Raw genomic sequence first — 16,301 nt, 5'->3', positions numbered from 1 at the left:
CTGAAATGGGTTTGAGGAATGAGAGGATCAGGGTGGGCTGGGAAATCCAGGAAGATGTTCAGGCAAAGTGTTTCAGAGCGAAAGGCTTAGGCAAAGGGATTACTGAGGCAGGCGGGACCCAGGCAATGGTGTTCAGCGAGGCAGCTGGAGAGCTCCCCAGCCCTGTCCAGTATGGAGATCCCACGCATTTGCCAATGAGCGGCTGACACCCATTCTCACCGTGACCTGGTGGGGCAGGGAAGTCCTTGCCTGGCCTGGGTAGCAGTAGTGGACCACTCACTCATGCCAGTAGGACCCTTCCTACATCCACACCCCAAGCAAGCAAAGAAGGACTTCCGGAACACAATCCTCATGGCAACCCTGCACCATTTTGGAGATGAGAATGTGAGCTTTGGAGAGTCTGGGCCAGGAAGGAAGGAGATCCAGACCAGGAGGCCTGGGCACAAGAAACCAACTGAAAATATAGAGCAGAGGATTTGGCCATGGGCATAGGAGAGATAAGGAGCCAGGGTTGGTCAACCCGGGAAACTTCAGCCTCCGATGCCTAGTATTTAGAACCCAAAGGACCTGCGCATGGTCTGGAGGGCAGCAGGAAGGAGTCGGGCTATGCCAAGTCGCTCTCTGGATTGGAAAGCGGTGGATTCCTCCAGGAGAGCTAGTGCCTGGTCTGGGTGATTTCACCCTAAACTACCCCAGTGGTAGTCCCAGGAGGTGCCTCTGTAGTACAGCAAGTCAGCCAGAGGTGGTGCATGCTAGGCTGCCTTCCCTTCATGTCCAGCGTGATGTATTGCACAATTCCAGTGGGTGCTGGGACGGCACCAACACACAGTGCTCCATAGAATGTCAGCATCATCCCTCTTGCACTTCCCAACAACCCTGTGCTACCAGTACCATTATTATCCCCTTCTGCAGATGAACACAGGGAGGCTTGGAGAGGCAGGTGGCTTGCTCGCTCAAGGTCAGTGACGTGCTCAAGGTCAATGGCTCACTCAAGGTCAATAGCTCACTCAAGGTCAGTGGCTCGCTCGAGGTCAATGGCTCGCCCAAGGTCAGTGACACGCTCAAGGTCAATGGCTCGCTCAAGGTCAGTGGCTCGCTCAAGGTCAGTGGCTCACTCAAGGTCAGTGACTCGCTCAAGGTCAGTAGCTTGCTCAAGGTCAGTGGCTAGTACTCAGTGGAGCGAGCTTTGCGGCAGCTCTGTTGCCCTCAGATAAGTTCTTAACCCTGGTCTCTTCCCCACTAGCATCTCCCCTGAGGACTCACTTTTAGCCAAATTCACCCCAAAAGACACGAAACATTCTTTTGTACCCTCTGGTTTCTCCTGCCTGTGTGAACTGGAGGCTGTGCCTAGGAAGTCCCCGGGACTTAGTTCCCAGGACACACACCAGAGCATTCCGCCAGCCTCCCCCGCTTCAGCCTGACAGCTTTCTTTTTTTTTATTTTTTTGGGACGGAGTCTCGCTCCTTCGCCCAGGCTGCAGTGGGTGGCATGATATCCACTCACTGCAACCTCCGCCTCCCGGATTCAAGCTATTCTCCTGCCTCAGCCTCCCGAGTAGCTGGGATTACCTGCACCCACCACCACGCCCAGCTAATTTTTTGTATTTTTAGCAGAGATGGGGTTTCACTATGTTGGCCAGGCTGGTCTTGAATTCCTGACCTCGTAATCCACCCACCTCGGCCTCCCAAAGTGCTGGGATTACAAACATGAGCCACCGTGCCCGGCCGAGCCTGACGGTTTTCTAAACACCCAGTGGGGGAGGCACAGCCTCCAGGAACTCAGGCAGCTGCATGGTTCAATGTTTGTGACGAGGTCTAATTTCATCCAGGAAATTGGTCAAGGCAGATTGCAGGATGTCAGAAAAGTTTCCTCAAAGATCATGTAGCAAGGGAGGTAGCGATGGGGGCGCTACACCCGCCAGGGACAGGGCCTGCAGGAAGGCAGCCGGCAGAGCCAGAGGCCCCTGAGTGTAGGAAGATGTTAACATTGCACTGTCATTGGTCACGGGGAATTTGCACACAGCCCAGCTGTGCTACACTCAGCTGAGATGGGGATGTGCACTTCGGTTGAAGGACAAGTGGAATAAGAATAATAATAGCAATTTATGGTGCCTGTATTAGCTTCCCATGTCTACTGTAACAAGTCACTAAAAAGTGCGTTGCTTGAAACTTATTCTCTCACAGTTCTGGAGGCCAGAAGTCCACAATGAAGGTGTAGACAGAGTCACACTCCCTCCAGAGGCTATAGGGGAGGATCCTTCCTGGGCTCTTCCAGCTTCTGGGGACTCTAGCTGTCCCAGGCTTGCGACCCCATTGCTCCAATCTCTGCCTGCGACTTCACATAGACTGCTCCTGTGTGTGTCTCCTCTTCTCTTCTCTCCTAAGGACACTTGTCATTGGACTTGGGGCCTGCACGAATCCAGGGGGATTTCATCTTGAGATCCTAAACTATATTTGCAAAGACACTTTTCCCAAATACGGTCACATTCACAGGTTCCAGGGGACCATAACTAGTCCCCACCACCCTCCCTCAGAGTTAACCACAGGGGTCCCTTTGGTGTGGGGACCTCCACGACTCTGAGATTGAGTGAGACAGATTGCAGGAGAGTGCAATGTTAACATCTTACCACATACGATGGCTGAGATACAGATACACATCCCATAAGAAATATGCAGTATTGTTGACATTTCCAGAATTTCTTAAAAGTAAAAACAAGGCCATGTGGGTATCATGTACCCTCTACTGATACGACGTGACAGAAACCCATCATCCTGGTCTAACCATGATGAAAACATCAGACATACTCAGATCGGAGGGCATTTCGCAAAACATTGGAGTTGTACTCCCCAAAGCGGTCAAGTTCATCAAAAGCAAGGAACAGTAAGAAACTGTCACAGACCAGAGCAGCCTAGGAGACATGACGACTGAATGGGATGCGGCACCCTGGATGGGATCCTGGAACAGGAAGAGGACATTAGGGAGAAACTGGTCAACTCCAGATAAAGTCTGGAATTTAGTGAATCGTAATGTAGCAATGTTGATTTCTTAGCCTGGACAAATGTACCCTGGTCATCGAGTAGGATGATAACATTATGGGAAATTTAAGCCAAGTGAGGCATAGACGAGGATTCTCTTTACTGACTTTTGCCTCCTCTTCAAAGTTCAAGGCCGCCCCTTGAACTGCTCAAGGAGCCGCAGGGCACTCAGAGGTACAGAAGCACAGAGGAAAAAAATGGAAACTTCCTTTCCAGCCTTTCTTCCCCAAATCCCACATCTCTGTAACTAAAATATGGTGTGTGTTTTTTCCTCACCTTTGGGGAGCTCTTTTGAAAGCTTCTTCCAGTGTCGGAAGATGTGTCCTTTGGAGGAAGTCCCGAATTGAGGGGTCTCTGGAAAGATCCCAACTTGGCTATATTTCAAGTAACAGAGAAACCACAGGGTCTGAGCTTCCACGGGCGCAGGCCCCGTGCCTCCTCACACTACCCCCTCGGGCAGGAACTGTCAGTAGCCCCACTTTCAAGAGACGAAAGCCAAGGCCCTGAGCCACAGCCGCAGCAGAGCTAGGATTCGGGCTAGGACTCATCCCCTTCCACGCGGTACAAACCCTTTCTCTCTCTCTCCCTCTCTTCCTCGCCCTCTCTTCTATCACAAAAGTCATGTTCAGTCAGTCCTCACTTACCATCTTTGACAGGTTCTTGGAAACTTGGACTTTAAGTGAAAGACTGGACTCAAGGCCATTTGGGTCTCAGGCCTCAGCCAGGCACTTAATTGGTGTCCTCCTCTTTCCGGACCAGGAAGTGGTTTTAAAAAGCTCCCTTAGAACCCAGCCCTGGGAACCCTGGCACAGTCAGTCCCTCCCGTCCCCAGGGAGGCCAGGAGGGGATGTATGCCAAGGTCCAGGCCAGATCCTGGCACTAACCACGTGTGGTCCCCACCGAGGGGTCCCTGTGGATGGCCACCCTCGCATCCCAAGCACTTTGGGGACTTGTGCTGTCTAGGGAGGGGAGGAGGATGTGGACACAGCACACCCTGTCCTCTCCCTGCCTCTTCAGGAGGAACCTCTGCCCTTTGTGGACTAGGAGGTTCCGGGCTCTGCAGCCTGGGTTCAGGACCGACTCTGAACCAGAATGAATGAACTGCCCACAGCAGGCCATGACAAGGGACATCACTCAGGAGAAAACAGACATTCCCAAATTGTTGGTAAGAAACCCATGGCGGGGGCACCTCAGGGCCAGGACCGGCTGTGTAATTTGTAGGGCCCAGTGCAAGATGAAAACGAAAGGGCCCTGTTCAAAGGAGTCCTTAAACCAACAGTGACCAGTAAGGCATTAAACCAATCATGAGGTCCTTTGGAGTGTGGGGTCCTTTGGCACGTGGGGTCCTTCCAGAGTGCAGGTGTCTATATGACCACCCAAGTCACATGCCCACAAAGCCACCTTCGTTCAGGCATCTCTTGGCTTTCAGACAATGCAACCCAGAGACGGCTTTCAACAGATGCCTTCATCCCAGGCCTGGCTCCTCCAGCCTCCCCCGGAGTTCCCCTTTGGTCAAAGTGCAAGTCAATCAAGAGGTCAGAGTGACCCACCCCATTGTCAAGAAGGGCAGTGGGAGGAACTGTGGGAAAAGTCAAATTGTCACCAGGCAGCTACAGGAGATAAGCTAGTCAGTGGCCTGCGGCCAGCATGCTGTCCGCCGTTCCCCATGGTACTTCTCTGCATCCCGCATTCCCAGAAGAGAATCAGCTCCCAGGCAGGCCATGTCCACTCTGTCCTGGGCAGCAGCTGGGCACATTGTGCCTTCTACATGCCCATTAACCACGCTGCAGGATGGAACCCAGCACTGGAAGGACCTGCTGTTCCAGAGACATTCCCAGGACAGCCCTGGGACGCCTCTGGCCAATGGCGGCCAGGAGGACAGGCCCTGGCCCGCAGACTCAGGGATGTGCGCTGGGGAAGGCTCCTGCACGATTACACCTGGGGACCCACGGGACGCCTTCAGATGGGGCACATAGGGGAGGGGGAGGTGGCAGGTCCCCCCAGCACAAAGCAAAGGGACCCTGGTGACAGCAGGGAGGCAGTCAGGGGCTAGTGGTGGGGAGGCGGGTGGCAAGAGGAGCAAGGGAGCCTAGGGCAGGGGTTAACTCCTCACCTCACATCGGAGCCAGCCGAGGCAGCCGCAGATGAGGACCAGGCCCCCATCACAGGGTGCCCAGACTGCAGAGCGATTACAGGGGGCCGCACCCCCCATAAAGTACACCCCGGCCATGCAGAAGTTCTCCTAACAGTCACGGTGCCAGGCAACCACCCACCCGATGCTGCTCCACAGGCAGAACAGCCGCTCACCCACAGCAACGGCAGTGTCTGAACCCAGGTTCACGTCCGGCTCAGGTTCCTCTGTCTGAAATGACGGCTGTGGGCTCCTCCTGGCCAGGCCAGCAAGGTTGCGTGTGTCTCCTCTTACCTCAGCGCCAGGAGCGCAGGAGCCCAGGAGAAGTGCCCGGGGTAAAAAGGACACCCCAGTGAGGGCAGGAGGCATCACTTAACTGTTTTTCTAAGTCAAATGAAACTTGATTTCCCACAGGGAAGTGCCGGGCAGCCCCACAGGCCCTGAGCTCAGAGTGCCGCCTTGCTGTGAGGCTCTGCTGCCCCGGCCTGGAAGTCCTCCATTGTTCTGAACCAGAGGCTCCCCGTTTTCATTCTGCCCTGGGCCTTACAAATCACACAGCCAGTCCTGCCCCACTGCCTCCAGGTAATGTAAAGACTCAGGGTCTTGCCCCAGGTGGAACGAACATTCCAGGAGCTGGCTGGTCTTCAGTTCACACTGTCTACCTTTAAGTGCTCATTGTCAGAGGCTGCTGACCCCTAGACAGGGTGGATCTGCAGCCTCTGGCTGAGCTGAGGCTGGAGAACTTGGCAGCACCTGGAGTCCCTGAGACTGGGGGAGGCCAGTGCTGCTGGGCGACAGTGCCCTAGGGAAACGGTCTCCCCAGGCATAGACCCCCCTCACCTCCTCTCCCCTTCCCTTCCCAGTCTTGGGAAGTCTCCTTCTTCCCCTGAGACCGTTGCATTTCTGCTGCCCCTCCCTCTATTCACCCATCTCAGGGAGCGGCTACTAGTTCCCCCTCCCCTCTCCCCGACCCCCAACCCTCCACCCGCAGCCCCACTGGCTTCATAGTCCCCTCAGTCGCTTCTGGCCCCTGGATGGTGTGGGATGGGGCGGTGCTTACACCACTCCACTTTCTCGCCAGATGGGGAAGACAACTGTTGTTTCTGCCACCCCCACCCCCAGTATGCATTGCCACATTTTCTGGAAACAGCACTCAGGATTTTCTGAGAGGGCCCCCCCCCCACCACCACAGCTTGAATTCCTGTAGTCTGGGGAGGTAAAACCCCACTCTCAAAGCCCAAGGTAGACATGTGACTCAGTCCTGGCCAATCAGATTATTTCATCCCGCAGGACTCAGTGATTGGCTTAGGGATGGGAACAGGACTCACATCAGTCCAACAGGAGTTAATTCTGCGCCACTATTGGGAAGAAAGAATTTGACTTTCTATTGGAAGGGGAGGTGGGAGGAAGTAAGCCCTGGGCTGCCAGGGGCTGACTGAAAAAGGTGGGAGAGTAAGAGATGGAGAAAAATCAAGTCCTGATGACAGCATTTGAGCCCCTGGATCCATCTGTGCCTGAAGGCAGGAAGCGCCCAGACCATGTCAGTTACACACAAATCGTTTTTCTTAAACCCGTTGAGTCTGGTTTTGTGTCACTCAAGACAGAAAGAGCCCTTAGCAGTGTGCTATCTCCCTCTCTTGCAAAGGTTACAGCCACACAGGAGCTGAATCCACACTGGATTACCAAACACAGTGCCCAAGACTTGGAGAAATTCCCAAAGCTGGCTGAGGGAAGGCTTTGGAAAGGGGCCCATGCCTCTTGCTAACTTTTCTTTCTGAGGCACTGTGGCTGGGAATCCTTCCAGAGAGAAGCCTTGTCTTCCTTCACAGCACAGAAAGGCCCCCATCCCCTTGTGGGAGGCAGAATTCTAAGATGGCCCAGAATCCCAGCCCCTGCTGTAGACTCCCTGTATAACCCCCTTCCCTGAAATGTGGGCAGGACTGTAGATATGGTGGCGTATCATGCCATGAGAAAATTACTACTTAGTTGACTTGCAGTTCCTCAAAAGGGAGATGGTTCTGGGTGGGCCTGGCTTAAGCAGATGAGCTCTTAAAAGGAACTGAGCCTTTCTTGAAGTCAGAGATTGGACGTGTGAAAGGGCCCCAGGAGGGATCACGTGATAAGGACCTGTGAGTAGCCTCTAGAAACCGACAGCAGTCCCAGCCAACAGCTGGACAGACAACAGGGACCTCAGTCCTATGGCTGCAGGGAAATGAATCCTGCCATCAACCAGAGGGAGCTTGAAAGTGGATTTTCCCCAGTTGAGCCTCCAAATGAGAATGCAGCCCAGCCACCACCTTGACTGCAGCCTTGTCAGGCCCTGGGCAGTGGACCCAGCTAGAACGTGCCAGACTCATGACCCATTAAAACAGATAATGAATGAGTGTTGTTGAAGCCACTAAGTTTGTGATAATTTGTTACACATCATAGAAACCAATGTAACTCTCACCACCAGAACCTAGGAGAGCTTGTCGGCTGGGGTCAGAGGACAGAACGGTCCACTAAACATCTAAACGTAGGATAAACACTAAACACTAAGCATAGGATAATGAATGAAATGCATGGTGCAGTGGTGAGCTCTCGGCTCCTGCAGGCAGGCCTCCTGGGCTCCCATTCCAGTCTGACTGCTTGCTAGCCTCGGTTTCCTCATTTGCAAAATGGGATCTGAAAGAGCACTTCCTTCATGGGGTGGTCAGCGTAGTTCCCACGGAGCACTTAGAACAATGCCTGGCACACGGCAAACACCCAGTCACTGTTATTTGTCGTTGTTGACGTTGTTGTCATGGTTCTAGCAAGCATGTTTTGGTGCTCAGGGTCGAGTATGCCACACGCCTGGGTTAGAGATCTCGCTCCTCCACTCACTCGCTGTGACCACGGGCATCCCCTTCGCCATGGTGAGCCTTGGTTTCCTCCCTGGAAAATGGGACAATAAAGGGATGCAGTCCCAGGGAACTTGCTGAGTGGAGTCCTGAGCCACTGCGTCATGTGCTGAGCTCACTGCCAACTAGGTCAGTCACTGAACCGAACTGGGTCTATTGCCCACATGCAGCAGAAAGCCAAACACCAAGGCACTGCGTTTTTGCAGCGAGAAAGGTTTACTGTGAGTGGCAAGGAGACAGGAGGAAACACTCAAATCTGTCTCCCGGCTGGGGGCTAGGTCAGGTTTTATAAGCATAGGATAATGAGGTGTGATCTGATTGGCTGTTCCCATCAGGTGATGCCAGGAGGTGTGATCTGATTAGATCCTGCCATGGGGTGACGCCAGGGCTCAATCTGATTGGATCCTGGATCCTGCCATGCAGTGTCCACTTCTTAATTCAGTCCCCGCATCCTGGCTCGAGCACTTAGGTTCCGTCCCTGGCTGCATGCTTGGTGTGTCTGGGCATGCCCAGGTTATGTGACCTTCAACCTGGGGGTTCATGGCAACTGAAAACAACTCACAACTTTGTTACATAAAAGTTGAACCAGATTTGTCTAGTGCAGTTACCAGGTTACAGTCCCAGGATTCAATCTCAGAACTTCTGGTTCGAGGAGCTGCCGCTCCCTGGAACGTGGCTGGCTGCAGTGCAAGGCACCCAGGAAGCCTCAGTTCTGAAAGAATCACAGCGAGAGATGAGAAGTGACTTTCCACAAGAAATATTGAACTTCATCCCCATGGAGCCTCTGCATGGAACATGCAGGGACAGAAAGTTCCCATCTGGAAGCTTCACACGTTTTTTCCTTTCTAGAACAAAGGGCGAACTTTGCAAACCCATCCATTCTTCCCAGTTGACAAAGCACCTTCACCTGCCTTGACCTTAGCCTCAATGACAGCCTCCCACTGTGACCCTGGTTGAGATGGAAACGGGGGCCCCGAGAGAGAGTCCCACACCCAGGTCACACAGGTAAAAAGTGGTGAGACTGGGATTTGAACCTAGGTCTCCCAGACTCCACAGACCATGCTCACGGCCCCTCTTAGAGCCATGTTTCCTATATTCTAGTGAGGAAAGAAAGTCAACCAAGAGCAAGAAAGGGCTGGGCGCAGTGGCTCCCACCAGTAATCTCAGCACTTTGGGAGACCAAGGCAGGAGGATCACCCGAGACCAGGAGTTCAGGACCAGCCTGGGCAACATAGCGAGACCCTCCCATCTCTACAAAAAAACAAAACAAAACAAAACAAAAAGGAGTCAAGTATGTCAGATGGGGATGTAAATGATGGGGAGAAGTCAAGTGTTTATGGGGGAGAATTAGGTTTATAAGTGGTGAGAGAGGTGGTCAGCGTACACCTCATTGAAAAGAGAACATGAGAACAAAGACCTAGGAGGTGAGGGTGCGAGACATGCAGCCGCCTGGGGAAGAGCCTTCCAGGCCGTGCAAAGGCCCCGGGGCTGAAATGTGCCCGGCATACCTGGGGAGCGCCAAGGAGGTGGCCGACGTGGCCTGCCTGGCTTGCCTCTGCCCCAGAAACCATCAGCGTCACACCCTGCTGTCATCTCGTCATCTGCATTATATTCTCAGGGTTTCTTAAATCCCTAAGAGAGTTTGGACTGGCTCAGGTCATCTGTTGGCGCCAATGATCGGCTCCCCCTAGGTCAGATGCGCACCCACGGTTCAATATCTGCACCATAGGGGCGGGATTAAGTCTCCCCACACATGGCCACCCTGAGTGAGCTGCCCCTTCTGCAATGGCTGTGGACGTGGTGGCAGTGACTGAGGCGTCCAGTGGCCCAACTGGCTGGTTTATTTTCTTTATCAGATGCTGCGGCCTCTCTCAAATAGCTGTGCCACCATCAGGAATATCCCCTGACCCCCGGGCACTGAACCAAACCTTCCCCTCCAACCAGACCTATCCCTCCACCAGCGGATGTTAGTGACCAGCTATTGGGAGCCACACCCTGTCATAGGTGCTGGGGGCGACATGGCAGGCAAGACAGGCAAGGTCCCTGTATCCTAGCAACAGAGACATACAATTGACAAATAACTGCAGAAATAATTATTTAAATAGATTCTGATGTGTGCAATGATGGGAAAGCATTGGAACTATGAGAACTTATAACAGTGGACAAGCCCAAGCTTCAGGGTCAGGGGGAAGAGCAATCACGGAAGCCTTCTTGGAGAAAGTGACAACGAAGCTGAGAACTGAATGGTGAATCCAAGTCAGCCAGAGAGGAATGGGGGGAAGAAAACAGGATTCCCAGAAGAAGGAAAGAATGCATTCAAAGGCCACCAAGGTTGAGAGGAGCTCAACATGTTTGAGACAACCCAAGAAAGCCTGTGTGTGGCCAAGGTGTCGTGGGGGATTGGTGGGAGGTAGCAGCATAGGGCCAGGCTGGAGGGTAATGGAAGTTCAAAGAACACTTCTCCTTGTCATCTGATTTCTAAAGCCCATTCAAGCCGGGGCCCAGCAGCCCTGGTGAGCTGAGAAAACAAATTTGAATGTCAAATTGCTGCCCTGCCCATTGCATGCACACACAATCTCTCTGGCCCCCAGGGACTCCAAGGGCCCTCCAACAGTGAGGAGATCCAGGAGGCAAGCACAGCCCTGCAAGACCGTGCTCTGAGGAGGAGGAGGCTCATCAGAATCAATGGCAAGTGCCACTCACACCTGTCCTTTCAGGAGGCACTGAACTACTTCTATGTAACAGCCATCAGAGCGTCACTGGGTCCCACGCACGAACCAGCTTTAATCAGGGGTGCTTATGCAAGTTGCACCCCCGTATGCCCTGAGGAGCTCTTACCACCTCATCTCTTTAATCTGGACCTCTCAGGGTGGGTCCCAGCCTCCTGCAGAATCCCCAGGTTCTTCTAACAGGTGCCTGGGGAGGCCCCGGACTCTGACCTCTCGCCTATTCTCTGTTCACCCTCCCTCCTCGGTGTCACATCCAGGACAGTGGCAGACACGCCATGGCTAAGACAATGACTCCCAATTTTGATTTCCAGCCTGGACCACCTGCTGACCTCCAGCTCAGGGCCCACCACCTTCTCAGCAGCGCCAGGCGGGCCTATCATCACATATTAATCTTAACGCATCTGCACCGCCTGCAACGGTGTCCCCCAGAATTCATGTTCATCCAGAACCTCAGAATGTGACCTTATCTGGAAATAGGGGCTTTGCAGATGGAATTAGTTCAGATGAGGTCATATAGGATTAGGTTATGCACTAAATCCAATGACTGGTATCCTTATAGGAGAAAGAAGAGACTCCGAGACACAAGGAGAAGGCTGTGTGAAGACGGTGGCAGGGATTAGAGCGATGCCACCGCAGGCCAAGGAGCTCCAAGGATCTCTGGTGCCCACAGAAGCTGGAAGAGAGGCTGGAACGGATTCTCCCTCAGAGCCTCCGGACGGAAACAGCCCTGCCCACACCTTGATTTGGGATTTAAATTTCTGCTGCTTTAAGCCACCCAATTTTCAGGAATTAGCTAAGCAGTCTTGCAGACAAATGCAACGTCGAAAGCAGGACTCAGAATTTTCTCCCTCATACCTGCTCTTCCCCCATCTCCCATCTCCACAGGTGCACCCTCCGTGCCCCTCACTGCTCAGGCTGAAATCTTTGCAGCCTGCCTGCCTGCCTTCCTCCCTCCCTCCATTCCTTCCCTTCTATCTTTTTTTCTTTCTGTCTTCTTTCTTGAAGGGATCTCACTCTGTCGCCCAGCCTGGAGGGCGGTGGCATGATCATGGCTCACTGCAGCCTCCACCTCCTGGGCTCAAGTGAAAGCAACAAAGGGCTGGAGGTGGTGGGGACGGGAGAGACTTGGGCATCTGCTGGCCTGGAAGAGGGCAGGACAGGAGCTTAGAGGCTGGAGACTCGGCTGCCCAGGTGCATGTCTAGTCACACTCATTCACCTCCTAGCCCTCTGGAGTTTCTGGTTCTCCAACCTCTCTGCCAGTCTGATGACCCCACGTCATCACATATCACCAACTCTTACCTGATAATCAGCCACCCACCCAAAAGCACACTTTTTTTTTAAGACAGAGTCTCGCTCTGTTGCCCAGGCTGGAATGCAGTGGTGAGATCTCGGCTCACTGCAACCTCTGTTTCCTGGGTTCAAGCGATTTTCCTGCCTCAGCCTCCCGAGTAGCTGGGACTATAGGCATGCGCCACCATGCCTGGCTAATTTTTGCATTTTTAGTAGAGATGGGGTTTCACCGTGTTGGCCAGGCTGGTCTCGAACTCCTGACCTCAAGTGATCCGCCCGCCTAGGCCTCCCAAAGTGTTGGGATTACAGGCGTGAGCCACTGCAACCAACTTTTTTTTTTTTTTTTTTTTTTTTTTTTAAGATACAGTCTTGCTCTGTGGCCCAGGCTGGAGTGCAATGGCGCCATCACGGCTCACTACGGCCTTGACCTTCTGGACTCAAGTGATCCTCCCACCTCAGCCTCCCGAGTAGCTGGGACTATAGGTGCAGACTACCACGCCTGCCTAATTTTTTCTTTTTTTGTAGAAACGGGGTCTCACTATGTTGCCCAGGCTTCGCTCAAACTCCTGGGCTCAAGCAATTCTCCCACTTCAGCCTCCCAAAGTGCTGGGATTATAGGCATGACCCACTGCACCCAGCTACTTTAAGTTTTTTTGTAGAGATTGGGTCTCACTATGTTGCCCAGGCTGGACAGTCATTTTAACTCCACCAGGTGTCCTGCCTTCCACAGGCATTCCTTTGTCAAAGTCAGAATCAAGCCCTGAGGTTGTACCATCACATCACCCTGCACCTGGTCACTTCTCACAGCCTCCCGCCCTCGTCATGTGAAGCCACTGACACCTCTCTCCTCCTCACCTCCTCCCTCTTTCTGCCCTTACACCCTAGTCTTTATTTATTTATTAAGACAGAGTTTCACTCCTTTTGCCCAGGCTAGAGTGCAATGGCATGATCTCTGCTCACTGCAACCTCCGCCTCCTGAGTTCAAGCGATTCTCCTGCCTCAGCCTCTCAAGTAACTGGGATTACAGGCACACACCACCATGCCCGGCCCCACTCTACCACTCTAGTCTTTAAAACACAAGGCAGAACAATCTCATGGGCCCCGTTGTCCCCCGTCTCACTCAGTCAAGTCCAAAGCCCTCAACAGTGCGGCACAGGCCCATCCCGGCCCGACCATCCCTCCCCACGACAGCCCCTCCAACCTCATCCCGCCACACTCCTTCTTGTTCACTGCCCTGCAGCCACACTGGCCACCCTGCTGCCGCCCCTGCCTCAAGGCCTTTGCACTGGTTGTTCCCTCTGTTTGGCACATCCTGCGCCCAGGGCCTGGCTCATTCTCTCCATTCAGATGTCTGCTCAAATGTCACCTCCCCAGAGGCCTTCTCTGACCACCCTGCCTAAGGCAGGCTCCTGTCCCATCCTCCTCCTGCCCTTTACCCGGTTTAACTGTCTCTGGCGTCCTTCCACCTGACATAGCATAGACAGCACGTGCTTGTGGGTTTATTCCCGGCATGGCTGTGCAGATGGCCCAGCAACTGGCCTGAGAAGGCTTCAATAAACACTGGCTGAACAAATGAAAGAGTAGGTGAATGAATGATTGAGTGAACGAGTAAGCAGATGAAGACCCATCCTGAAGACTCATCCAACCCTAATTGCTCATGAGTGTTGCCAAGTTGCCGCTCTTGTGAGGGGCAGATAAGAATGTGGTTTCCAAAGTTCCGGTTCCTCTTGAGCAGCGGAAGCGCTCCCCTGTGACCTCTGCAGTGGGAACAGCAGCATCCCCTCTCATAGCCCCGCAAAGACAAGGCTCCTGGGCCTCCTTCTAAGGGGCAGCAGGACTCGGGGTGCCTGGGGAGGTCAGGCCTGCATCCCAACACCAGCACTGTCCCCATGGGCTGTGCGGGCCCGGGCTGGTTACCTGACCTCTCTGTGCCTTGGTGTTCTTATCTACAAGATGGGTACAAAGAGGATTTACGTGGCTGCAGGGCTGTTGTGAGAACTGAATACACTCATACGCAGCCAGGCTGAGAATGGTCCCCCGTGAGTGCTCAGTAAGCAAGAGCAAGCATCACCACGTGGCACCATGGAGAAGGGTGGTCTTCCATTATCTCCTTCTCTTTCTTGGGGCAAGGCGAGGCATGTGATTGTCCCCATCTGGAGCTTGGCCAAGCCAGAGCAGGGGATGTGACAGAGCCCTCAGCATGGTGACATCCCGGAGTTTTGACTATGGGGCTGCAATAGCCACAAGTGCACTGGTGTGCCATGCGGATGTTTCACCTTCGGGGTCTGCCTGGGATGAGCTGCCATCCCCCCTTCTTTGCTGCTGAGGCAGTCAGACCTGAATTGTCTCCACCCCACTGCCAGCTTCACTGAGGAGGAAAGAGAAAGAAAAGGAATGCCGAGGCCCCCAGACAGGAGGCCAAAGATACACAGCCCTCTGGGAAAGGGGGAGGTGGATGCCCAGAGGTGAGGAGTGCTGGCCTGGGGGACTCCTTCGGGGGGCTCCGGGGCTGGCTAGCTGCGGGTGCTGGGCCCAGCCCTGGGCTTGTGTGCCCATAGGGACTGTACCTTCCACATGAGGGGACGTGACCAAGCGGCTGCAACCACACACCTCCCGGCCGGGGCTCGACAGAGCAAGAGGGTCATGAGTATTTCTCACAGAAGGTGAAGTGTGCAGACACAGTGCCATCTGTGGCCTGCACGCTCTCCGGGCCCCTCCAAGCCACCCCCTCCGTCCTTTCTCAGGCCGGGTCCACCCTAGAAACCCAGTGTGTTGGCAGCAGTTTGCCCCAGATGGTCCCTGCTGCTCCCAGCACCTCAGCTCACCCGGCCATGCCCCAGCCTCCAGTGCACTTCATCACCTGCCCTAGAAGCAAGATGCTGAGACCTCGAAGACTGCACTCAGACCCTCAGAGCAAAATATTCGCAACTAATGTGCCAGCAAATTTCCCAAAGCCAAGTAAAACTTAGGATCCAGCAACCCTCCAGTGAGTCCCGAGCAAGGGGCTCGATGATGTGGTTTTGCTCTCCCTCTCCTCAGGCCACTCTGGGCAGGCAGTTTGTCACCGGGAGAGATGACTGCCCCCCCTCACTGGAGCAGGACTGGTGACCACACTGGCAGCCAGATGTTGGCCCAGCGTCGTAAATGATGCAGGACGGCTTATCGGCCACAGGAAGCCAGAGAGCCAGGCTGCAGCCACACAGAGTGAAGAAACAGGCTTGTGGGAGAGGAAGCTGCCCAGCCTCGGTTATGCAAAGTATACGGGGGTGCGGGGTGGGGAGCGGGGGGGCTCTTCCTCTATTACATAATTATCTCTGCATCCCTGCTGGAGGGAGGCTTGCACCTCAGCTGCACTTCCGAGTCACTTGGGGTGTCGAGTGCCACCCTAGGGATTCTGGCACAGTTGGTCTGCAGCATGACCTGGGCAGGAGGGTTTTTTAAAGCCCTCTGGATGATTCTAGGAGCAGCCAATGTTATAAACACAGGCTCCAGATTTAGAACACAGGCTCAGGTTCAGGAGCAGAGCTTCAGCCTACAGGTCCTGAGGGATCCCACCCAACTGCGAGGATCACAGAGACTAAGCTGTGAATAGTGCCCTGGAGTTGTGCAGTTTACAGCCTGTGCAACTGGACACAGCCGACCTGATGGGGGGCAGGGGAGAAAGTGAGCATCCAAACTACTTTGTTGGTGAAGAATGACATGGAGGTGCAGGTTCAGACCCCAGTGCTGCCACCTGTTCAGGGAATTTGTACTCGGTGCCTCCTGTGTACGGGCACTATGTACCCAACCTGAGTCATGCAGATGATATTTATGGGAGGGAGACAGAGAGAAAACAAATAATCCCGCACACAAATATATAATGACACATTTAGTAAAAACAGGCGGCAGGAAAGAGCAAGGGAAGTGTGGTGGGCAGAATAATGCCCTCACCCCAGTCTTAGAACCTGTAACTACTCTAGGCTGCTCGGCGAAGGGGAATTTGGGCAGCAGATGGAACAGAGGTTGTGAATCAGCTGGCCTGGAGATGGGGAGATCATCCTGGACCATTGGAGAGGGCCCAGTGTCCTCACAGGAACCCTTCAAAGTGCAAGAGGGAATGGGAAGAGGGGCGGCAGAGGGAAGACTCACCCCGAGGCTGCTGCCTTGGAAAGGGAGGAACCGAGGACCTGAATCCTGCCAACCACCCCAATGAGCGGGAAACAGGTGCTCCTTTGAGCTTCCAGAAAGGGGCACAGT

The 16,301-nt window shown here is 53.9% G+C and overlaps 1 long non-coding RNA gene across 1 annotated transcript, besides 10 other annotated features; it reads right to left on the bottom strand.

The window, feature by feature from the left end:
- Positions 685-1,515: an enhancer, noted in NCBI's record as "H3K27ac-H3K4me1 hESC enhancer chr20:56039390-56040220 (GRCh37/hg19 assembly coordinates)". NCBI's record gives its function as "activates a minimal SCP1, AML or CMV promoter by ChIP-STARR-seq in naive H9 embryonic stem cells {active_cell/tissue: H9 hESC(naive)}" and the evidence as "EXISTENCE:reporter gene assay evidence [ECO:0000049][PMID:30033119]".
- Positions 2,623-5,589, bottom strand: LOC105372688 (uncharacterized). Its single transcript, XR_936911.3, has 3 exons — positions 5,149-5,589; positions 3,312-3,409; positions 2,623-2,955 (listed from the first exon to the last, which is right to left on the bottom strand). It is a non-coding gene; the product is annotated as an uncharacterized LOC105372688 (long non-coding RNA).
- Positions 4,442-4,736: an enhancer, noted in NCBI's record as "tiled region #5175; HepG2 Activating non-DNase unmatched - State 20:ReprD, and K562 Activating DNase matched - State 8:EnhW". NCBI's record gives its function as "activates a minimal TATA promoter and a strong SV40 promoter by Sharpr-MPRA in HepG2 and K562 cells {active_cell/tissue: HepG2 | K562}" and the evidence as "EXISTENCE:reporter gene assay evidence [ECO:0000049][PMID:27701403]".
- Positions 13,309-13,809: an enhancer, noted in NCBI's record as "H3K4me1 hESC enhancer chr20:56027096-56027596 (GRCh37/hg19 assembly coordinates)". NCBI's record gives its function as "activates a minimal SCP1, AML or CMV promoter by ChIP-STARR-seq in naive H9 embryonic stem cells {active_cell/tissue: H9 hESC(naive)}" and the evidence as "EXISTENCE:reporter gene assay evidence [ECO:0000049][PMID:30033119]".
- Positions 13,309-14,368: a biological region, named in NCBI's record as "H3K4me1 hESC enhancers GRCh37_chr20:56026537-56027036 and GRCh37_chr20:56027096-56027596".
- Positions 13,503-13,692: an enhancer, noted in NCBI's record as "active region_18157". NCBI's record gives its function as "activates an Ori minimal core promoter by ATAC-STARR-seq in GM12878 lymphoblastoid cells {active_cell/tissue: GM12878}" and the evidence as "EXISTENCE:reporter gene assay evidence [ECO:0000049][PMID:35858748]".
- Positions 13,622-13,916: an enhancer, noted in NCBI's record as "tiled region #12455; HepG2 Activating non-DNase unmatched - State 20:ReprD, and K562 Activating DNase matched - State 5:Enh". NCBI's record gives its function as "activates a minimal TATA promoter and a strong SV40 promoter by Sharpr-MPRA in HepG2 and K562 cells {active_cell/tissue: HepG2 | K562}" and the evidence as "EXISTENCE:reporter gene assay evidence [ECO:0000049][PMID:27701403]".
- Positions 13,683-13,827: an enhancer, noted in NCBI's record as "145 bp enhancer 47 fragment used in the MPRA reporter construct; PK_construct_4129". NCBI's record gives its function as "activates an SV40 promoter by MPRA in HepG2 and K562 cells {active_cell/tissue: HepG2 | K562}" and the evidence as "EXISTENCE:reporter gene assay evidence [ECO:0000049][PMID:23512712]".
- Positions 13,747-13,764: a transcriptional cis regulatory region, noted in NCBI's record as "GATA motif; MPRA enhancer 47 activity is reduced when this motif is scrambled". NCBI's record gives its function as "necessary for full MPRA enhancer 47 activity {active_cell/tissue: HepG2 | K562}" and the evidence as "EXISTENCE:site-directed mutagenesis evidence [ECO:0005528][PMID:23512712]".
- Positions 13,869-14,368: an enhancer, noted in NCBI's record as "H3K4me1 hESC enhancer chr20:56026537-56027036 (GRCh37/hg19 assembly coordinates)". NCBI's record gives its function as "activates a minimal SCP1, AML or CMV promoter by ChIP-STARR-seq in naive H9 embryonic stem cells {active_cell/tissue: H9 hESC(naive)}" and the evidence as "EXISTENCE:reporter gene assay evidence [ECO:0000049][PMID:30033119]".
- Positions 14,873-15,162: an enhancer, noted in NCBI's record as "active region_18156". NCBI's record gives its function as "activates an Ori minimal core promoter by ATAC-STARR-seq in GM12878 lymphoblastoid cells {active_cell/tissue: GM12878}" and the evidence as "EXISTENCE:reporter gene assay evidence [ECO:0000049][PMID:35858748]".

Source organism: Homo sapiens, chromosome 20 (genome assembly GCF_000001405.40).
Source record: "Homo sapiens chromosome 20, GRCh38.p14 Primary Assembly".
Classification (NCBI taxonomy): domain Eukaryota; kingdom Metazoa; phylum Chordata; class Mammalia; order Primates; family Hominidae; genus Homo; species Homo sapiens.
Note: the sequence above shows the minus strand (reverse complement) of the source record. Positions and strands in the feature narration are given on the sequence as shown.